Genomic DNA, 24382 nt, shown 5'->3' with positions numbered 1-24382 from the left:
AGTCCTTCCTAACTGGCATTGGCTATCCAGGTGCTGTGTTAGGGTTTTGAGAATGCCAGAGACTCAGAGGAAAAAGGAGTTTTAATTGATCTATGATAACTGCCATCAGAGTAAGACAGAGTACTGGAGACACGTGTGGCCAATATTTAGGCCACTGCTTCTGCATAAATGAGTAGTGGTTTTAGGATAAGGAGAGGAGAGTGCCTGGAGAGGCATATGATCAGAGGCATAGTGTTTCACTTCTGTGCTCTTAAAAAATGCAAAAGTCTGTCAAATAGATATTGAAACTGCAAACTAACATCCACGAGAGATGGATTAAGATGATTATGACATAAAAATTTACACTTGCAACTGTATATTCGCCATAGAAAATGCTCCCTTTATGTGGATGCAAATAAGTGTTAATTATCCCTCTGTAATAGTGGCAAAACAATACATAACTGATGTTGTTAACTTAACAAATACATTGTACCCACCTTCGATTTCTAGCTTTTTGTCTGTCACTTTAAATTGGCTAACTGTTTGACAGATGTTCAATAATTGATACAGCTTATCTTCCTCTCTCAGGCTCCCTTCCTACTCAATTGCCAGCATTTCTAGTTGCTACAGCAACTGTAAACATTAATGATTATTCCAACACATCAAGGAGATTGAAACACATTCTTAAGTTAAAAGTTTCCCCAGGGGAAAAAAAAATCCATCTCTGGCAAGATGGAAAATATTATATGATTTAAATTCCCTGGTTATTTTATTTATTACTGAAAAATACACAAATCTATTTCTACAGGTTCGCATAGGTAATGACTTTTCTCTCCCATCTGACTAACAAAGAGAGTCATGGGAAATTGAGAAACTCTGTTTTCTCCAATGTAAGGGAGGAAGAATTCATCTAGATAAATGATAAATAAGGAAACCTGCGGGGGAGTTTTGAAAGCAACCTCTTAAAGTCTCACATGGCACAGAACATGGTTTCGCATGATCTGGGTGCAAGCTGAAGTCCCTCCATGTAAAGTCTCAGTGGCTTCAAGAGTAAAATTGGGGTGATGGTATCTGTCCTAACCATTTGTGTCACCTTAAACTGAAAAACGTAAAAATAAATAAACAAATACATGAGATCATTACTGTCATTTCTTAAAAAGTGAAGAGTCTATCCTTGGAAAGAAACTGGAAGTAAGTGGAAAGATCTGGAAAATAGCTGTGTTCTGTTTACCATGCTACTGTAGAACATTTAAAAAGTGATTGCTGGCCAGGCGCGGAGGCTCACGCCTGTAATCCCTGCACTTTGGGAGACTCAGGTGGGTGGATGATGAGGTCAGGAGTTTGAGACCAGCCTGGCCAACATGGTGAAACCTGGTCTCTACTAAAAATACAAAGATTAGCTGGGTGTGGTGGGGCGTGCCTGTAATCCCAGCTATTCGGGAGGCTGAGGCAGGAGAATCACTTGAACTCGGGAGGTGGAGCTTGCAGTGAGCTGAGATTGCACCACTGCACTCCAGTCTGGGCCACAGAGCAAGACTCCGTCTCAGAAAAAAAAAAGAAAAAAAAGTGATTGCTAACATTTTCCAAAATGGAAACATTTCATATAAGATTCCACACATACGGCTTCTCATGAAAAACCATGAGACCAGGCACTACTGAACCTGTATTTCTTCAAGGCAATAACTGGTCTGAGATGAGCAGTGACTGGCCTGTTTAAAGGAAGGCTGTGGATCTCCACCTGACTCACATTATCTGATTCATTTACATTCTTACCTGCCTGGCTGGCCATAGGAGACAACAGAGTTTGTGAATTCTGGCTGAACCCTTTTCATATATCACGTGCATTCCTAAAGCAAATCCTCCTGACGTCCATCAATCCCAACCTTATTGTATCCCTTGATCTTCTTCTGTAAAGTAGGGAACAGCCAATGTTTGGGCTCAACTTCAGTGGAGAAGTGCTGGATAAGTACTTCTTTCTGCTCCCATCAGTGACTGCCTAGCCGTTGAGGTCCAATGACTCACTAAGGCAAGCTTAAATGGAAAGCAAAAATCCAGAAGTCACCAAAATCTTGTTTTCCTTAATGCCTAAGGTTTTCCCCTTCTTCTTTAAAAAAAATTAGTGTGGCAAAATACATATAAAAGTTTACCATTTTAATCATTTGTAAGTGCACAGTTCAGTGCCACTACATCCATTCCCAATGTTGTGCAACTATCACCATTATTCATGTCTAGAACTTTTTCATAATCCCAAACTGAAACTCTGTATCCCTTCTGCCTGGTTTTAAATTACTCATTCAACAAATGCTTCATGTGGGCCTATTAGGTTCAGGCATTCTTCTTGGCACTAGGGACATAGTGGGATATATTCAGCAGAGATACAGTTTTAGGAGAATCAAGTTTCTTGAATCCTGCTCATGTTTCCAGGACAGTGGATCTTGTTGTACATGGTATACACCTCTCACATCTAGAAATAACTCTTCGGGATGGGATCCTGGGGTGCAACCCTACTTTACAATAAGATGACAAGTAGACATCATTTGTTTTGGGTGCCTAGCTTCTCCTGACTTGGTAACCTCATTCTAATCTTTTTTAAAATCAGGAATCATTTCTCCCCGACTCTTAGTAGATGCTATACGAGTGAGGCTAATCTCCGTTCTGGCTCCAGGAATAGACCTATGTCGTCTGGCTGCCCAATCAGCATTTTCTATCCAGCACCACCCTCATATCCTCCACTCACCATAATTGGTTTAAGAGTGGGCATATGACTCAAGTTAGCATATAAAGGCCAATTTTGAAGCTTTTGCTAAAATTACTGGAAATGAAGCATTTTCTCCTTCCCGCTGAGTTACCTTGCAGTGAGAGGCAGCTTGTGAAAAGCAAATTCAAGAGATGATAGAGAGATCCTAACACTATCATTTGGGAACTAAAATCTAGTTGTAGTTAATAGGACTTTTATGCCAAAAAATTCCCGTGTTTATTTAAGCTCATTTGAATTGGATTTTGGCACTTGCAACCAAAAGAATCCCAATGAACAGAACACTTAAACAACAGACATAGCACTGAAGAGTATTACATAATCTTAACAAGCATCCAGTGGGAACCAACACGGGGACTTCTGGAAATGTGTTTTCAAACTCTACCTTCTCAATTCTATTGAAAACAAAACCAACCCCCTTGTCCTTCCATGAGTCCTGCTCTGCCCTAACATATCCCTGGAATCTCTGCTTTAATTCTTCCCCAGATTTCTACTCAGCCTCACTGTAAGTGAAAAACACATGATTTAAAAGCCTATGCTAACATTTTATTTTTTTTTTGAGACAGGGTCTCACTCTGTTGCCCAGGCTGGACTGCAGTGGCATGATCATAGCTCATTGAAACCTCAAATTCCTGGGCTCAAGTGACCCTCCTGAGTAGCTGGGGACTACAGGTGTATGCCACTATGCCCAGCTAATATTTTTTTTATTCTTAGTAGAGACGAGGTCTTGCTATGTTGACCAGGCTCCTGGGTTCAGGCAGTCCTCCTGCCTCAGCCTCCCGAAGTGTTGGGATTACAGGTGTCAGCCACTGTGCCCAACCCTGTGCTAGTATTTTAGATACAATACCACATTTGCCAGTTGTTAGCTGTGTGGTCTTGGGCAAATCACTTCAACTCTCTGAGTTGTTTTGGGTGTCAAGTCGGCCCCGGTAAGAGCATGTGGGCAGGGAAGACAGGCAGACTGGCACAGACTGGCATTCCCTAAGAGTATCTCTATAAATGATCTGTTCTGATGCATGGTGGTGGACATTCAGGAGAGGAGCAAAGGGTGGGATGAGGGAAAGTGTTTCCCAATAAAAGCTCTGAGCACGAGCATTCAATATTCCCCTGATATTTACTAGGCAGTCATGTGTCAGCACACTGTGAGTTTGCACAGGACACACACAGCAGGCAGTAAACCACAAATTGCCTGGTTATCCTGTAAAGAAGGACGTGTGCCTGCAGCAGGGCCGGGGCTAAGGTCTGGCACAAAGTCACAGCCAGCATCAAAACACAGAGCTATCACCTCCTGATGTGCCATCTTCAGTTGTAAAGGACAAGATACATATAATTTTAGCATTCTTGCAACACTTCAGATCACAAATTGCTTGGTGAACATTGATTAGTTGACCCTCTTTGATGATGCCTGACCCTAGAGGCACTTATTTAGCTTGTGGAAGGAGTCTGAACTTTTTTTTCCTCTTCATGAGCTTCTTAACCAGGATCTGATGAGCAAGGGGTGATCTCAGTCTTTAGCTGACTCTCTGCTTGTGGATGATTACAAGGGCCTCTTACTGACCTCTAAGGGGATGGGTGCCAAGGTCACAGTTTAGCTATTAGAAAAAACTGCCAAGTCTATCTTTTTTTTTTTTGCAACATTTGCCTTTTCTCTCCTGATAATGACAAAAAGCTGAACAAAGTAAGGGTGCACTCACAAAATTCAGCCCAGGGAACTGTGGTCAACAAGCTGAGAATATATAAGAACAGGAATGGACATATGAAAGGCATTCATTTATATAATACTTATTTATTTATTTATTTATTTGAGACCGAGTTTCACTCTTGTTCCCCAGGCTGGAGTACAGTGGTGCGATCTCGGCTGCAGCCTCCACCTCTTGAGTTCAAGCGATTCTCCTGCCTCAGCCTTCCTGAGTAGCTGGGATTATAGGCATGCACCACCACACCCAGCTAATTTTGTATTTTTAGTAGAGATGGGGTTTCCCCATGTTGGTCAGGGTGGTCTCGAACTCCCAACCTCAGGTGATCGGCCTGCCTCGGCCTCCCTAGTAATAATCTCTAAGTAAAACTGGCATAAACTGGTTTGGGAATAAAAATCAGTTATTCTTGGCAGTGTACAACTCAACAGCTATGAACAGAGGAGTCCAAATTTACTTGAGAATAGCAATATTTTTAAATGTGTGCCACTGAATACTGGTTTAGTCCAACATAAAGAGGCATACATGATAAAATCATGTGGACAAATATGTTTGGGAAATAACCAGTGTTTTAATCTCTTCTCATGCTGCTAATAAAGACATACCTGAGACTGGGTAATTTATAAAGGAAAGAGGTTTAATTGACTCACCATCCTGCATGGCTGGGGATGCCTCAGGAAACTTACAATCATGGTGGTAGGGGAAGTAAACATGTCCTTCTTCACATGGTGGCAGGAAGGACAATGAAAGCGAAGGAAGGGGAAAGCCCCTTATAAAACCATCAGATCTCATGAGAATTCACTCACTATCATGAGAACAGCATGAGAGTAACTGCCCCTATGATTTAATTACCTCCTACCAGGTTTCTCCCACAACATGTGGGGATTATGGGAACTACAATTCAAGATGAGATTTGGCTGGGAATACAGCCAAATCATATCAACTGGGTTGAAAATGCTGGGCAGATTTCTTTACTACAGGATTTCTCCAAATCTTATTAGCATTGTAAAATCTCCAAGAGGAGAATCCAATATTCAGCATTTCCCAGATCTATTTAATCAAGGACCTGCTCCCACACCTTCTTAAGGAAGAAGGGTTGATTACTGAAGACAAAAATGGCATCTCTATGATCACACTGTCATAATAATTCAGATGCCATTAATTAAAATACCTGATTAGCTCAGCTGCCTTTAGTTGACATCTATTTTGAAAAAGCCAAGTTATGAAAGATCTAAATGAGATGTATAGGAGAAGAGGTTTGAAAAGGTATTGTAGCATCAAAGCTAACAGCATGAACCTTGAAGAAGGCAAATCTTAGTTCTCTGAAAACAGCTCAACTCCACGTCACTGACTCTCTGTTAGCCTCATATGTAGAATGGGCATGCTGATTTTACTTTACTTCCAGGATTGATCTGAGTATTTTACCTCCTTTGCTGTTCTCAACATGTCTGTAATGAAACTGCAATCTCTACTCTTGAAAACTGTTTTCAAACCATGTGAAAAACCCGCTTGTCCTACACTTTTGGGACCTAGAATTAGTTGGTAATTTTAAAAGTTGCTAGAAGTGGGAAACCATAAAGTAATGCCATATGTATGTCATAAACATTTTATGAAATTTATCATAACATATAGTTTATATATTTATATATAACTTATCTTTATTTACTAATAAAGTAATTTATTTTTAGGCAATTAAATTTATTATTTGTCAATATTTTCATGTAAGAACAATGTAACTCTTACCTTTTATTTATTTTTAAAGTTGACAGTGGACTAGGGTTGTTATTTTCACATAAGCTACGTTCATCATGCATTGACAACTCTCATTTACAGTTTTGGTTTCCTTACAAAAGAGTTGTGACAAGATCTGAGTACAGAATTATACTAGAGTATGAATTATAATTGTCTTTTATTTAAAAATAAACTTGTATAATTGTCCGTAGAACCTTTAATTTTTTTATTGGCTTGTTTTTCTTGAGTCTTTTCCAAAGGATTGCACCTAGTTTTTGCGGAAATGACAACTCTTGCCTTTTGAATTTTTATTTCATTAGTTTATATAATATTTAAAGTTTATAATTGTAAGTGAAACTGGCATAAACTGGTTTGGGAATAAAAACAACTCATCCTTGGCAGTGTCCAACTCAACACCTAGGAACAGAGTGCTCCAAATTCACCTGAGCGTAGCCTACCAGCCATGAACCTTCAGCTTGCCACAGGCAACAGTCATTATGCATTACGGAAGGAATGAAGAGACTGTTTATCCAGAAAGTCAGTTAAAGGGTGGTGGGTTGAGAGAGCCTCTATAATGCTTTAAAATAAGCCATATTCTGCTTTATTGTCCCTTAAATAGACTCTTGCTGATTAGACCATATAATTTTAACTAAAAGTCTCTACATATGCTTCCTATACAGGCATTGTTGGTTGACTTCTAATTGTAGTTGATTCCATTAAGAGAGAGTAATGGTGGAATTTTGCAGGTATGATGGCAGACCAATACAGATAGATAAGGGGAAAGAGATCGTTTCTGTAGGTGTCCCTCAATTACATAATATGGGTAATTGCCCAGTCCATATGAACCAGTACATTTTAAACTTTTCCATCGAGGCGTCCTTACCGGAACAGCTGAGTGAACACACACTTCTGAAGGGTCAGAAGGCAAACCCCAAAGCAGCCTACTGCAAGCCTTGAGACTTATATTACATATTCATTCTACTTCTGAGTTCTACTGCACAATATATCTATGGTGACCTTAACATAAAATGCTTTAAAGTACAACCGTGAAATTCTGCAAATCTGCAATAAATATAATTCTCAAAAAGGAGTATTATGTCACACAGTACTACATGCGATTAAGAACAAAGCAGTGAAAGCGATGGAGAAGGATGGTGAGTACTATTTGAAAAATATCGGGAAGGGGTGGAAATGAGCAGAGATTTGAAATGAAAGAAGGTTGCAAGCCACGAGGTATCTGGGGGACTCACATTCAAGGCATGGGAGCAACACTCACAAAGGCCCCATTGCTAGGAGGGACGTGTTTCATGTCTTTGAGAAACAGTATATGGAACAGAAGGATGGGGGTTGTGGGGACATAATGACGGACAGATGGCCAGGGGCCAGTTTATGGGGGCTTCTGGCCAAGGTGAGAGGTTTGGATTTTTTTCTGAGTGAGAAGTAAAGCCTTTGGAGGGCTTTTGGCCAGGGAGAAATGTGAACGACTTACACTTAAAAGAGTCACTGTATTAGGCCTTTCCTGTATTGCTATGAAGAAATACCTGAGACTGAGTAATTTATAAGAAAATTAGCTTAATTGGCTCATGGTTCTGCAAACTGTACAGGAAACACAGTGCTGGTATCCGCTTCTGGGGAGGCCTCAGGAAGCTTTTACTAAGGTGGAAGGTGAAGCAGGAGCGGGCACTTCACATGGTGAAAAGCAGGAGCAAGAGATGGGGGGTAGGTGCCACATACTTTTAAACAATCAGATTTCACGAGAACTCACTGTTGTGAGGACGGCACTGAGCCGTGAAGGATCCACTCCCATGATCCAATCACCTCCCACCAGGCCCCACCTCCAACATTGGGGGGTTACAATTAAACATGAGATTTGGGCAGGGACAAATAATTCAAACTCTATCTATCACCCTGGCTTTTATGTAACAAAAGGCTGGAGAAACAGGAATAGAAGGAGGGACACCAGTTAGGAAGCTCTTGTGATCAAGCCACTTACGATGGGAGTTTGGACTGGGGTTGCAATGGTTGAAGGTAGGGAGAGTTGGTTTGATACAGGGTATGTTTTGAAGGCACAGTGGTCAGGATTTGCAAACAGATTGAATGGTGGCATGGAAATAAATAAATAAATAAAGACTATCACCCAAATTTCAGTCTTGAGCCACTGGATGAATGGAAGTGCCCTTTCCTGTGACTGGGAAAACTATAGGAGAATAAGATTTAGGAAGAAGATCAAATGCTCAGGTTTAGTCATATTACCTTTGAGATGCCTACTGGACAACCACGTGAGAAGATGAGCAGGAAATGGATATGTAAGTCAAGTATTTAGGAGGGAGAGGGGCTGACAGTAGGTATTTATAAAATATCAGTATAAAGATGGCATTTGAAGCCATTGGACTGGATGAAATCACTAGAGAGCAAGTATACAGAGAGATAAAGGCCTGGGTCTTGAGCCTGAGGACACTTATACTTTACTTTAAGAATATGAGTAGATGACAGGGAAATGAGAAGCCAGAAAAGAAAAAAATGGAAAAAAAAAGAAAATGGAAATCCAGGGATTTAAAGGGGGTACCAAGAGAGTTATAGCCCAAAAGCCACAAGAAGCAAGTATTTGAGAAGTTTAGAGAGAGCAGCTGTATTGAATGCTGCTGATAGGTCAAATACTGTGAGAACTAAGAATTTATCATCAGCTTTAGTATTGTGGACATCACTGAAGAGAGCTACTTTTGTGCAATTCTGGGGAAAAGTCCCAATGGACTGAGGGTAAGAGTCCGTGAAAGAGAAGATGTAGAGATGACTCTTTGGTGCAGTTTTGCCGTAAGAGGAGCATAGAAATTGAGCAGTGGGAGTTTCTTACTAGTTTAAAGCAGGAGATGTTGCCACATTGTTCCGATGCAGGTAGGAGTGATGTAGCAGGGAAAGAAAATGTATCTAATGCAGGAGAGAGGAGTAAAACGATAGCTAGAGTGAAGTTCTTGAGTGGGTGAGAGGGAATGCAATCCAGTGACCAAGAGGATGGGGTTGATCTTAGATTGGAGCCCTGGAAGATTTTGTGTTTGGGTTGAGTGGGAAACACAAAGAATCCACCACCACAGCTACTGCCCAAGATAAAGACACCAATATCTCTTACTTGGATTATTGCAGCATCTGTTTCAAGGTTCTCTTCACACAGCCCTGTTCTGCTGCAACCCATTACCTGCACTCTTTAAAGAAAGAGTGATATATAAGCTCAATTCCTAGAAGAAGAGCTCATGGCTTTCCGTTGCCCTTATGTTGAAGAACACACTCCTTAAAATGGCTTCAACAATGCTCATTAAGAATATTTTAAATGGTGATGAAGGCTCAATATTTTCTCTTCAATAACATGTTCTTGAAAAAAATGGGGGCAGCTAGCTTCATTTATTTATTTATTTCTGGTTTCAATCTGTTTTAAAATCATATATTTCAATGTGACCTAATTAATCCTTTAACAGTCAGCTTTCAACACCTTTGATCAGCTTCTTACTGTGATATAAAAGATTAGATCCTACTCCTAGGACTAAATCTCTTACCAGCCATTTCCCTGGTGAAACGTTTAATATTTGTGGTCAAGGGAGGAAGAATAAAATTCCTGAAAATGATCATGTTATCATGAGTGAAACATATTTTTAATAACTTCAAGGCACAGCTACTTTCAACCTCGTCCTTTCTATTCCTTACGGACTATACTTCTACCATATAACAAAGAGCCTCTGACCCACAAAAAATTAAAAGATTTCTTCACAAAGGGTTGAGGAAATAACCAAATCCCGAAGCCAATGGCCAAATATAGTTTGAGGGTTGGAGCCCGATTGGGAATAATAAATTAATCTCTTTATTGATGGCTACAAATGGAACCCTTGACTCGGTCTTCATAAATCTGTAGATAATTATAGTGGGAATATTAAAATGAAAATAATCCTAATCCTCTTTTATTTGTAAATGTACCACATTACCTTTTCTCAGTTGTGATGGTAGAGTTGGAAAAATAAAGATATATGAGTGATTGTAGGATATAATAATGTCACAGTATGAGGCAATTTCAGTTAGGGTTGTAGTAACTCTAACTACATTGGAAACTTTGCACTATATATTAACACATCTGAAAAACTGGGTTAAAAGTTAAAATCCACCCAGCTGTAACTCTTTTGATCCAACTTCTTTGGGCAATGCAAACAAAGACAGATATTTTGACTTAAATTCTATGAGAGTTAGCATTAACCCTCAGATTATCTTCACTGAGAAATCTAGTCCAATGATGAGATTGGTATCAGTCATGTATGATTTTGAAGATCCTTGACTTTTTTCCTCACTCTTTGATTTCATATGATAATGCAGAATAGAGAAGGAGAAAAGCTGATGGAAGAGAAACAAGTACCCTGGCAATGAGCAGAGAAACAGGAAGCATCACCTCTTTAGCAATTAGAAAAGATTAACAGTATCACAGAAATAGCTTTTCAGGTGACCTTATGCAAGCCTTTCACTTAACACAGGGAGGTCACACAGCAAATTGCTAGACTACTATTAATAGAACCCAGGTCTTCTGTTCTCTGGTCCAGTATTCTTACTCCAGTAGTCTCGCTTAAAAATTGGGAGACTAAACATTTTTTAAAAATCTAGTCGTCCAGCTTTTATTTTTTTATTTTTATTTTTTATTTTTTGGAGACGGAGTGTCGCTCTGTCGCCCAGGCTGGAGTGCAGTGGTGTGATCTTGGCTCACTGCAAGCTCCGCCTCCCGGGTTCCCGCCATTCTCCCGCCTCAGCCTCCCGAGTAGCTGGGACTACAGGCGCCCATCACCGCGCCCGGCTAATTTTTGTATTTTTAGTAGAGACGGGGTTTCACCGTGTTAGCCAGGATGGTCTCGATCTCCTGACCTCGTGATCCGCCCGCCTCGGCCTCCCAAAGTGCTGGGATGACAGGCGTGAGCCACCGCGCCGGCCCCAGCTTTTCTAAAAGAAGGAAGAAGGTGGAGGAGGAGGAGAAAGAGGAGGAGAAGGGCAAGCAGGAACAAAGGAAAAGAAAAGATCTGAGTTTATACTCCCATATGACAACAGTGGGTAACGGGTTAAAATTCTCTCTCTCTATGGAGAACTTTATCTTGGGTTAACTTTCTGGCTTTGTTACCCTGGAAACCTGGTAAGGTGAAATGTCAGCCACATAAGCAGGCTATGTTGTTATAAGAATGACCCCGGATTGGTAAGCTGAATCTGGCTGGAAGGACTGCAAATGAACACATCTGTTGAGAAGTTATTGGGTTGGGCTTCCCTGAGTGTGGTGACTCATAATGAGGAGGCTTGACCTGGGGATTTTGGAAGCTGTGCCTATAGGAACGTCACCAGAGATCTTGGCTCCTATTTAAGACATAGACCTTCTAAATCAGGAGACTCTACACTTAGCTACACAAGTTTAACTTCTTTGCTCTTGAAATAACACTTGGGAATAGAGAAAAAAAATTTTAAAAAAGTCCCTAGATTGCTATTCGGACTGTTCCAGGGATTCCCATTGAAGACCAAGGCCTAGTACTGCTCTGCGGGCATACACTGTGCTCGGTCTGTAAGTGAATGAGATGTCAAGTGTAACCCATGGAAATCAAGTCAGTTTGATTGTCTAGTTGACCCTAAGAGCACTCCCTTGGGTGCACTGTAACCAACAATGCCCTGCCCCTTATTGATGAGATGTGTACTCTTTACTTCCTCAGGGTCTTCCCAACCCCTATTATCTTACATCTGGTTCACTTCAATTCAACTGCAGTGCAGTCCTTGAAAATTTAAAAGCCCTGTTCTAAATTCCAGGTGGGGTAAGTAAGTTATTTCTACAGTAACTTGACAAGGAACCTATCAAGAGAAGCAATAAACCCCTCTATATTTAGAAGCTTCAGAGGTACAAAAATCACCAACAGCATCCGACCTCTTTCTGTTGTGATTCCCACTGTCTTTTTTTTTTTTTGGTAAAAGCAAAAAACTTGCCATTCTGACCCAGTGGGCTTCCAATTTTCTCTTTCCTGCCCCCGCTTTTTATCTGCATCTAAGGTATATTAACAAACAATCCAGCCAGAATCTTAAAGGCACTTGTGATTTACTTCAGAGAATTCTTTTTTAAAGCAATTAATTGGAAAATGGATCTTGAAAACACCTTTAGCTATTATATCATATGGCAATTCCTTTGTAGATTTGGAAAAAATAACGTTTTCAAAATAATTGGCCTCTATTTCCAAGGTTTTGACATAACAATTAGGACTATATCTCTTAAATAAAAATTGAAGGTGTATGTCAAGATTTTTTTTTGTAACTGGTTACAGGCTGTCACCAAGCTAGAGGAAGGAGGCCATTAGTACGACATTCATCATTCAGTATTTCCAGGAACTTCATTTGAGATAATAATCTACCTGCTTTAGTTTTCATGAACCCCCTATGAGTTACAGATGCCAGATGTCTTTTCTCTGGCTGTCTCTCTGATGACAGGCCTAGTGGCACATAAAAGCAAAAGCGGTCGGTGTTGGGGAGGAAACTCACAGCTTACGGCGGGACAGTCCATTATTAATGGAGAAAGTCATAGAGTAGTTAATGTACGGATGTCAGACTTTGCAACTTTCATACAGTCCCCTTGGGAAGTGGTGCTGACAGATGTGTTGAAGGCAGAACTGCAAGCAGAGCAGATAGTCAGCAGGGAATCATTAGTCTGCTTCAAGAGCTGGGGCTCCTGGGTGATTAAGAGGTAACAGCTTACCAGAGCCATGCATAAATTACACAACCCAGGGTCAACACCCAAAATGCTTAATTTTTTTTTTTTTTTTTTTTTTACAAACCATAGGGTCTGAATGGCAAATATATTCTATAAGTCTGGCAACAGAAACTCTTAAAACTTCAATATTTCTCTCATCCATGCTCTATAAAAGCAAATTGATTCTACAATTAATTTATCCTGGAATGCTTCCCAGCTTCTATTGGAATAGGAATGTGGTAGACTATATGTGAAAGGGTGACCAGAAGAGCCCTTGGACTTACTCAATAACTCACATTAAAGATACCTGTATACAGTAAAGATGAGAGTTTCTAAAGCTAGGATTATGGAGGATTAATTTTAGTCTTACCCAGTTTTATCTTTTAATGGGTGCCTTCATTCGCATTCTTTACATTTCAGTATAGCCGCACGAAAGCTTATGTACTTTAAGCTTTATGGATCTACTTAGATATTCAAACCAGAGAGGTCACATGTGGTACTTAACAGTGGAACACCTTCCATGTGGTTTCTTGAATGAAACTGCTCATGGTCACAAAACTGACAGAACAGCATTCTCTGTCTTCCTGTAACACACTTAGCCCTGAACCTCTGCATTTAATTCAGACTCGATTCTTAATTGTTTATGAGCTATCTGGAATGCTAGTACATGATGAGATGACTTATATTAATTGCATTTTTGCTGTTAAAGATTGCTGCTGGGTACATGGGACTTTGTTGAAAATAAAAGGAGAAAGTCTACCAGTGGGAAGCAAATTTGGTATGGTATCTGCTACCAACTAAAGCATGACATATTTCAGATCACAGCCACTTGCAGGCTGCGGACCACTGACTCTCCATCTTCCCTCTACATTTTACTGGCTGGTTTTTAGTGACAAACACCACATTTCCCCAGTTGAGATAAGTATGGAAATGAAAATAGAAGCTGTGTCAACTTGAATTTAAAGTTTTGTAACCTGAAAATGAACTAGCCCTCTTAGCATAATGCACTCCCCCTCAAGCAATTTTCTTAACTAGGCTACAGTGCCATTTGGGAACGGGGGTGGTTATATGTGTATTTTTTCATTCCCTGCAGAAAGCCAAGTAGTCTGACCGTTGCTGTGTGCAGATGAAATGCACGTCACTGCACACTTGCCCCAGTAACACCGTGAGGGCCTGCCACTGGAGATTCAGAACAGCTCCAGGCAGGAGCAAAGCGGATTACTGCCAATCCAGGCATTTTTAGTGATACCCATCTCTCCAGGCAGGAAAGCAAGGACAGCTATTTTAACTTCAGTATCTGGAATGATTTTCAAATGAAAAAAGAAGCAATAAAAGAACTACGTGGTTTGCAGGAGACCAATGTGTCCATGTATGGTGGAAACTCCTCCACATAATGCAAACATCTTCCTCCCCGAAAGGCTAGTACAAAAAATGCTTTTTTTGGAAAAAGAGGTAATTAACAACAGAGAACCATGTAAGAGCTGAGCTGGAAGCCACCTTAGAAATCACTAAATTCAACCATAGAAACCATTCTTTTAACATTTTTGTTACATATATTTTCTAACATATTACAAATAACAAAAGTAGAAATCATGGTATAATGAACCTTCATGTATCATCACCCAATAATTATAAACCTTGTTTCATTCTTGTTTGTCTTTACGTCCTCTGTTAAATATAATATTGGCTGTCATTAAGCAGATTATAGAAGTATCTTTTTTATTATTATACTTTAAGTTTTGAGATACATGTGCAGAACATGCAGGTTTGTTACATAGATATATATGTGCCATGATGGTTTGCTGCACCCATCAACCCATCATCTACATTACGTATTTCTCCTAATGCTATCCCTCCCCCAGCCCCCCACCCCAGAAGTATCTTTTTACTCTTCATTATGTTTTTATTTTTTAATTTTGTTTTTGTATTTTTAATCTGTAATATGGTATATTTTGAGCAAATACTTATTTTGGCTTATTTTGAGTTACCTGTACTTTTAAAACTTCTATCTCATTTTATATACATGTCCTAAAGTGTTTTTTCATGAATTGTTGAGTAATGCCATATTTACTTAATGTCTCAGGTATTTTTCTCATCCATAAAATGGGAATACATAACACCTAAATCAGGTTTTTGTAAGGGTTAAATGAGTTAATATATGTAAAACTTTTAAAATAGTGCCTACATGTATTACCCACTATGTAAGCGTTACCAACATTCATAAATAAGAGAGAGGCATTCCCTTTTTGCTGTCTTTGTCAAGTTCTAGTGCCAGGATTATTCTCATTCCATAAAATAAACTGGTAGCTTTTCATCTTGTCTTTGCTGTGCCACAAATTATTTGGCAAGAGAATTACATTAAAACTTTAAAATATTTTCTTTATAAAATGTATAGACCAGAGAACTTGGAGAGAGTAAATCTTGACAACTTTCAATTCCTTCCATAATAATTGGTATGTTCATATCTTCTACATTTTCTTGGTTCAATTTTGTTATTTATATATTCTTAATAGATAATTCATTTCATCCGGATGTTTAAATGATCATAGAGTTGTCTGTAGTTTTTTAAATGATTTTAAATATTTTATAGAAAATTATATGCTCTTTTTAACTTATCATTTTGCCTATTTGTATTTCTCTAGTTTGTTCTTGATTAGATTTGGAGAGAATATCTCATATCTCAAAGCTCCTCTTGGATGTCTCTCTATATACTGTTTTCTAATTCACTAATTTTGAGTTTTATCTTCTTTCTTTCCATTTCCCCTAGGTTTGTGCTATGTTCCTTTGAATTGCATGAGGTGAATACTTAAGGTACTGATTTTGATTTCCAGGATTCCTTATACAACAAATTTAAGGTTATTAATTTGTTTCAGGGTATACTTTTCATAAATTGTACAAGTGTAGATATGTTTGTTCTCATTTTTTTCACTTTTGAAAAATATATTAATATGGGTTTTATCTTTTCTTTGACCCAGTAGGTATCAGAAATGTGATTTGAAATTTGCATGGGACGGTTTTTAAAAAATTTGTGGTGTTGTATAAAATTGACCTATAACTAATTTCTTATTTAATTGCATTATGGCGGAAAATAAGGCCTGGCCTATATAATTTCAATTTTGTTTAAATTTTTTTTGGCTGAACATGTAAACAATTGAAATAGGATTTATGGAAGTGCTTAAAGAGAAAATACATAAGTATGTATGTTTACATTAAGAAAGGCCAATCATTATTACATTATTCAAATTCTTTATATGCTTATTTTTATTGACTTGACCTATCAAGTTAAGTAACAAATATGCATTAGTAATTTCTCCTTGTATTCCCAAACTTTTAGCTTTATATACTATGACTCTATGTTTCATGGTGTTTAAAATAATGTAAATGGAATGTCTTCATTGTGGTTTGTGTATTTTAATAATAAAAATTGCCTTTATCTGCCGGGCGAGGTGGCTCATGCCTGTAATCCCAGCACTTTGGGAGGCTGAGGCGGGCGGATCGCGAGATCAGGAGATCGAGACCATCCTGGCTAACACGGTGAAACCCCGCCTCTACTAAAAATACAAAAAAATGAGCCGGGCGTGGTGGCGGGCGCCTGTAGTCCCAGCTACTGGGAAGGCTGAAGCAGGAGAATGGTGTGAACCCGGGAGGCGGAGCTGGCAGTGAGCCGAGATCGCCCCACTGCACTCCAGCCTGGGCGACAGAGAGAGACTCAGTCTCAAAAAAAAAAAAAAAAAAAAAAAAGGTTGCCTTTATCTAATTTAATGCTTTTGTATTTGAATAATGCTTGGTCTAAAACTAATAATTCTGCCCTCATTTATTTTTCTTTTTAAAATCTGTTTTGTTGGTAGTCTAGGTATTTTGTATCATTGCATTTTGTTTAGATCATATTTTTAACTCAATCTGAGGCTCTTATATTTAAAATAAGTTGCATTTCTTTATATTTCATAAGCTACACACACTCATATCTGTCATATTTCTATACTTCATGTATGCTTTTTTGCTCATCTTTATTTTGAGTCTCTGGTTAAATAGATTACAGCTTCTTTGTTGTTGCTGTAGTTTGTTTGTTTTTTGAGATGGAGTCTCGCAGTGTTGCCCAGGCTGGAGTACAGTGGCATGATCTTGGCTCACTGCAAACTTCGCCTGCTGGGTTCAAGCAATTCTCCTGCCTCAAGCCTCCCAAGTAGCTGGGATTACAAACATGCACCACCACGCCCAGCTAACTTTTTAAATCTTTAGTAGAGATGGGGTTTCACCATGTTGGCCAGGCTGGTCTGAAACTCCTGACCTCAAGTGATCTGCCCACCTCGGCCTCCCAAAGTGCTGGGATTACAGGCGTGAGCCACTATGCCTGGCCACAACTTCTTTGATTTTATTGTCTCTAGCAACTTAGATGGTACATATCCCATTTTTATTTCTTACATCTATGCTTTCTTTATTTTTTTAACAAAAATTGTGATATGTTTTTAATTATTATTTTTTATTTATCTTTTTTTGAGACGAAGTCTTGCTCTGTTGCCCAGGCTGGAGAGCAGTGGCGATCTCGGCTTACTGCAACCTCTGCCTCCCGTGATCAAGTGATTCTCCTGCCTCAGCCTCCCGAGTAGCTGGGACTACAGGTGCCCGCCACCATGCCCAGCTAAATTTTTGTATTTTTCTTTTTAGTAAGACGGGGTTTCACCGTGTTAGCCAGGATGGTCTCGATTTCCTGACCTCAAGTGATCCGCCTGCCTTGGCCTCCCCAAGTGTTGGGATTATAGGTGTGAGCCACCTCGCCCAGCCCAGTTGTTTATATTTAACAAATTTATGTGTCATACACAAACATAACAGAATATATGAGCTACTAGGAGTACAGGTCATATGCTGAACCCAAGTAAAGTTATGTCATTGGAATTATTTTTTAAAAATTTTCCAAATCCTTTGAATATATCTCTGGAACTGTGTGTAACACCATGTATAAAACACCAAGTGTTTTTGTGGCAGCTCCCAGTAAACATCCTTTCTTCTTTAATTATTAAAATAAAAAATACCATAATTTTTTTTCTTCCGCTCAAACATGAGAAAGTACAATATGTTTTTACTATTAAAAGGATGATGAACTCACATGGAATGGTAAGTATGTGATGATATTAAACAATAAAACAATACATACACACTGATGACCTGTCTTTACCAATTACATTGATTACATATGGGTTGGAACTTTACTACCTAATTTTTATATTTATGAAGCTTTCTGATTATTATACTTTCATTTTATGTTCTTTATAAAAACTTACCTAGTTAGCCATGCTTATCACTAATTCAATTTGCTACAATGTTTATTTGGCTTTTTACTGAGTCTGCATTGCAGATTTTAATATTTCCATTTCTCATCATTGCCAGCTCCCTTCAAACCTCAATCTGCATTGGCGGCAACTCTCTTTTAACATTGGCATCTTTGTTTCATAGAATCCATGTTTTCTTGTACTTGACCAAAAGCACAGTGGAGATGCATCCATTCATTTTCTTATATTTTCTTAAGGCGTTCCTTCCAAAGCATTTTCATTCTATTTTGTTTTGCTTTGCATCCTTAGGCAATGTCTGACATTTCCCCTCCTTCTCGATCACCAAGTAATTTTTTTTTATCACTAAGTATTTTCTCAAGTCATCATGATAGTGTAGATTTCTTATTTTATTATTCATTTACATAGTGTAGATATTTTATTTTTTATTTAACTCTATGACTTTAACACATCGGTTGTAATTCTATCCCAGCCTTGGTTTCACCAGCTAAGAATGGGTGCATCCCACCATTTCTATAAATTGACTGCACGGGGCTCCCAGAATCTCAATTTTTAAAACTTAAATTTGAGGCAATTTGATAACATTTTCTGTTTCCAACTTACTGGTGTCTGGCTATCATTGATTTCATAAGATTTTGAGGAACAAAAATGGAGCTTTCTATTGCTTCAGTCACCACTTTCACAGTAAACTGAAACACCCTTCCCCATGTCCATACTCATGTGCCATGTTGGCTTCTTTTGACAACCTCTCCACTCCAGACTTACATACAGCTGTTCTGTCTATAATACTCCTCCTTTCCTTCTACTCTCTTGTCCTTCAGATCTAAGCCACAGAACTACTTCTTCAAGGAAGCCTTCTCTGACTCCCCAATCCACATGATGTCCTTCTATTTTACATGGTCACTGAACCCTGTTTTCCTTTCCCTCACCCCCACCTCACAACCAAGAGCACACATCTCAGTATGATGATTTCATTACCCCGCTCCTCCCTAGCAGACCTGTAGGCTACATGGCAGGAGAAAACATTTTGTTTTGGCCCACTCCTATATCTGCCCTGTCTATGACAAGGCCTGGTATCTGAAAGGTTCTGCCAAAATCTCCTATTTTTACTTTTTAAAAGAAATCTATTCCTTTAACCTTGAAATCCTAATTTACATAATCCATTAGAATCCAATCATAAATTTCATTCATCACAACTGTGTCCATTGAAGTAAACTGGAGTTGTACATTTAGAAGGAGTGCTGGCTTGCAGAGACAGTGAACAAATTCTCAGGGTAGCAAGAGAAGAAGGTACATGAATGTCTTTCTCATATTTGGGTACTAATGTTAGAGAGCTGTCATAGCTACCTCAGTTTGCAGTAAGTGGAGAAGGAAGAAACATAATCCTTAAATCAGCCACCTTTTGTTTTTAAAAGTCCTTTCATCTTTTCAAAAAGCATACTCTGGTTTGCGTGAAATGATAAGAACTGGGCTTCAAACACCTAAAACTGAAGCATCTTGGCATTTCCCAGGTGTTCCCTAGTGTATGTGCTGATTTGAGGGAATGAGAGGATGTGTAAATTCCACACTACTTCACAAAGTAGAGATTCTTTGGATATTTCTGAAATGCTACGTTATCAACTGCAACTGTCTTCCCAGCTGTGCCTGCCATATGGATTTGTGAAGTCCTATGGAGTGTTTTTATGACACAACTCCTTTCCAGGGGTTAATTGTGACAGTGAAGATTGTGATAATGTGTTAACCTGCACCAGATGATGGGAGAAAAAGAGGGTGTGTTTCGGCTGGAGATGGGAAGAGCTCTCTTGGCTCGGTACAAAGTGGCTGCCCATTGTTTTGTTAGCAGCACCACCTACTTCAGATATCACGAACATTCTCTCAGTCTCTGAATTAAACATTAAACATTTCTTTGAGTTCATAATGCAGACAGAGTTGGTCTCTCTGTAAAACTATTATGCTTCATTTGGAACTTTGTATTTATTCTATATATCTGCAAATGTCAAAATCATTAGTGGATATGGAGAACTGCAATCAGTTTGATTGATTTGAAAAGTTTTTTATCCATATTGTTTGTCATTGATTAATATACAGATACTCCAGTAAATCACTTCCTCTTAAATCAGTATTTTGATATTACATAGAATCAAAAGCTTTAATCCTACCCTCATACAAAATGCCATGATTTATTCCTTTGTGTGTGAAACTGAACTTCACTTGCCTAAATGTATAGTTTTCTCTGGTCTTCAATTTGGCTTTTTCCAGTTATTTTGTTCCTAATGTCTGAAAACCAAACTGAACATGTTAAAAAATATATCAGAAAAATTAACAACTTCTTATTTGTGCCTAAGACTCCTAGGTTCAAAATCCCTGAGAGTGGTAAATATCCATTTCTGAGCCTTCGATTTCTGAGCTCCTAACCAGAGTCTATTTCCAAATTTCCAGGACTCAGTCAGCATTTCCTTATTCTATGTACTGCATCATTATCCTGCTTAATTCCATGTAACATCCTGCTTAATGCACTGACCTGAGAGAATACCTATTCATTGCTAAAAATGTAGCCAAAGCACCACTCATTCCTTTTTCAGCTGAAAAAATGAGATTCACAGGGTATATTTCCAGCAGGCATTAAAACAAGAATGGTGCCCGTCTATCCTGTAGTGAATGTCCACTGGATTATTTATGAAACGCTCAGCCAGATTCATGTTGTTGAAAGCTCAGTGTTGATCATTTGTTCTCTTCTGGCTAGTACATCCCTGGTAGCACTCTCCTGGATGTGTAATGTGTTTTTCACATCTCCAGACTCTTCATGTCCCAACCTATGTTCTAACACAATGTCATCCTTCACTGCTTTCTGGGACAGGACAACTCCAAAAGAAAAAGCTCTGCATGTGGTCCAGCTTTGTCAAATGATCACAGTTTGTAGATCATTTAGCCTTATGGATCCATTCTCATTTTCCAAACATTATTTCCTTTCGGTACTAATGTGTTTGGCCCTTACTCTGACATCAGTGGCCTCCAGTTCTAAGGATCAAACCTGGAGATAATCTTTTTAATTTTTTTTGGATGTTTAAAAAGAAAATAGAGATGTACTCAACTTGAATTGAAATCTGTGTATCCACAAATACAGTTACATAGTGCCTATCATTAAAGTACACACAAACTAACTGTCAGGAGAGAAGCTGGGTAATTAGGGGCATCATTAAGTTCTTGGTTTCTGCCCAATAAAGCACATAGAAACGTTTGCACAAAAGCAAGTGAGGAAAAAAGGAGACAGAAAAAGAATTTCCTGAAATTTATTTCTGCTATTTTTTAGCCAAATTATTATTTTTTTTCTGAACAATAAGATATTTAATTAACTGGTATTTATTAAGTAGCTGAGTCTATTTCTAAGTGCTATGGCCAGGAACTTGCTATAGCTGTAAAAACAGCTTAAGCATCTCTCTTACTAGAACTAAAAAAAGAATTAAAGTAGAAAGTATGTAGCTACTACTCCTAGGGAACTCTTCTTAAAAAACCAGACCACCAATTCTCTACAAGGTTACTTTAAGAAACTGGAAGCTCAGCTATAAAAAGACTATAATTTTTCTATGACCAGGAAACGTTCGTTACTTATATCAACTTATTTTTTTCTACTCATAAGTGTATAGTTGTTGACATCTAGGCATTCAAAAGTATAGTCATGAAACATTCAAGTTGTTTTAAAAAGAGTTGACAGGAAAATTCAAAGGCAAAAAGTATGTCAGTAGCATCACAGAATATACTTCACCAATTTCAGAGATAACTGAAATCAGAAATATCCACCTCACTTCTTCTTGTCATATCTGGTAGAGGAGAAGCAAGTCACTCCTGTAGACATGCCAGGCCCCAATTCCTCCCTTTTGCTTCTTTTGCTGATTCTTTCTTTGAGCTAAATGATCTCATGGATGAGAGAAGTGGAGCCTGCCTTTGGTGTAGTGAGGGCAAGCACTCCCTCCCAGTGGCCTATCCTCCTAAACACGAAACACTCCACCCAGGCCATGTGGGTCAGATAGTTTATCACAAGTAGTCCCTGATCAATGTGGCTCTCTTTTTCTGTTCAATGGGTGAAACAGGAGGCTTAATGAATGCAGAAAGGCATCACCTTATAAACTGTTTTACATTATTCTATGCTGATTAAATCAACTAATGCGCTGTAACCCCCTCTGATTGGCAAACGGGGAAGAGAAAAAAGGGAGGAACTGGCTGATTACATTTCAAATAAAGGAGTCCAAGTTCATATCTTTCAAAGGAACACAGTCAAGAGGCAACAGACAAGATCGCCTTAAGAATATTTAATTCCTGGATGGGCACGGTGGCTCATGCCTGTACTCCCAGCACTTTGGGAGGCTGAGGTAGGAAGATCGCTTGAGGCCAGGAGTTTGAGACCAACTTGGGTAACAAAACAAGACCCCATCTCTAACAAAAAATAAAATAATTAGCCTGGTGTGGTGGCTCATGCCTGCAGTACTAGCTACTCAAGAGGCTGAGGTGGGAGGATTGCTTGAGCCCGGTTTCAGGCTGCAATGACCCATGATCGTGCCACTGCACTCCAGACTAGGTGATAGAGTGAGATCCTGTCACAAGAAAAACAAACAGAAGAATATTTAATTCCTGATTTTTTTAAAAAAGGTATCTAGTAGTCTATGATGTTGATTAACCTATCACTAACTAAATGTTAAGCTTTCCCCTCTGAATTGAGATAGATATCTACTTAAGTGAATATATAAAGTTCCTCTGTTGGGAAATGGAAATCAGAATGCATGTTTCATAGAAATTATATTATAAAAGGTGGTTTAAACCAAGTTTGGCTGACCTCAACATTCTTGGAAAATGGCATAGTAGCAGTATTTCAATGCCACTCCCAACCAACATTTTAAACATCATTTTGTAAGTTCCAAGACCAGATGACGAGATCCTACATTTTGCCTTATTACAGGACCTTTTCTGAATCACTGATTTCCAAGACGGTCAGTGTTAACCTACTGGACACCTGTGGCTTTTAATTTACTTGCAGGTGATAAGGCATCTCTCAGGGAAGTCGCTTCTCAGGTGACATGAAATTGGTATCAAAATGCAGCTCTCTCAGTGGTGGCCAAGAAACAAAGACTCAGGACCTAAAACCATTAGCTATCATTTGTTATGTGTGTTTTTAAAACTAGGATTATATTTGGGCACTTCTCTCATTATACACACACGCACACACACACACATACACAAACACACACAGAGAGAGAGAGAGAGAGAGAATGAGATGACTCAAGTGAAATGCTGGGCCCTTCCTTGTTCCCATATGTACCTTCAATCATGTTCCCAATATGACCAGAAAAGGTGATCAATACTTACAGCACTATTCTTATAGCTTTTTATGACAATTAAGTGATTGTTAATTTTGTAACCATTTAAAAATCTCACATTTTGCTTTTTTTAAGCTGCCATATAAAAATATGTTTAAGACAACATTCTTCAGTCTATTAAAAATATTCTCAGCATTATTTCAGCAGTATTTTTAAAGTCCTGCATCCGCCTAAGTCTACCTAGTGCCTTGTTTTTCTAAGGAAATGAAGTCCGGGCACATACTGTACACGCTAAATAGAAAATGCAAATATAAAGAATCACACAGGGTTTGGCTTATGAGAAGACTATTGGTAGAGTTTACCTTAACTGTAAAGTCTTTAATAGCAATTTTCAAATGTTAGAAGAATGGCTAATAAAGCCACAATGCCAGAGCATAACCAATTTATGTTAATAATAGATGTAAATTCCATATAAATCTCTTGGGAGATATATCCGAAAAGTATCTGCCTACATAAAAGTTGTTACATGAATGTAAATCAAGAATCACATATCTCCAAAGATGAGAAATTCTCTGATTTAACTTTGACTTCAAGCTTAAGCAAATGAAAACAATCAAACCCAGCCTAATTAATAAAATCAGGAGTGTCTGGAAGTTTTAACTGTGCAAATTGCTGCCACATTTGTTATGTCTTTTCATCCTCATAACAGATTTGAAAAGTTTACAGAACAAAGATGAATTCAATTTGGTTGGCATTATAGTGGTGTTTGAGGACTTGAAAGTGATGCTAGGAACCCAGATATGGGTAAGGAGAGGGAGCCTGAAAAAGGTAATGAGAGAAAGTAGAGGGAGTAAGCTGGAAGTACAGGGACTGCTTCCTGAGGAAAGTGACCAGTC

At 38.7% G+C, this 24382-nt stretch overlaps 1 protein-coding gene and 1 long non-coding RNA gene across 38 annotated transcripts in view; one reads left to right on the top strand and one right to left on the bottom strand.

The window, feature by feature from the left end:
* Nucleotides 1-24382, bottom strand: part of CNTN4 (contactin 4) — a 959094-nt gene that overhangs the window by 206428 nt on the left and 728284 nt on the right. The window lies entirely within an intron of this gene.
* LOC105376926 (uncharacterized) overlaps nt 1-24382 on the top strand; it is a 38900-nt gene that overhangs the window by 302 nt on the left and 14216 nt on the right. The window contains exon 2 of the long non-coding RNA XR_001740398.2: nt 15660-15703. This is a non-coding gene — a long non-coding RNA (uncharacterized LOC105376926). The remainder of the gene's footprint in view (nt 1-15659; nt 15704-24382) is intronic.

This window comes from Homo sapiens, chromosome 3, assembly GCF_000001405.40.
Source record: "Homo sapiens chromosome 3, GRCh38.p14 Primary Assembly".
NCBI lineage: Eukaryota > Metazoa > Chordata > Mammalia > Primates > Hominidae > Homo > Homo sapiens.
Note: the sequence above shows the minus strand (reverse complement) of the source record. Positions and strands in the feature narration are given on the sequence as shown.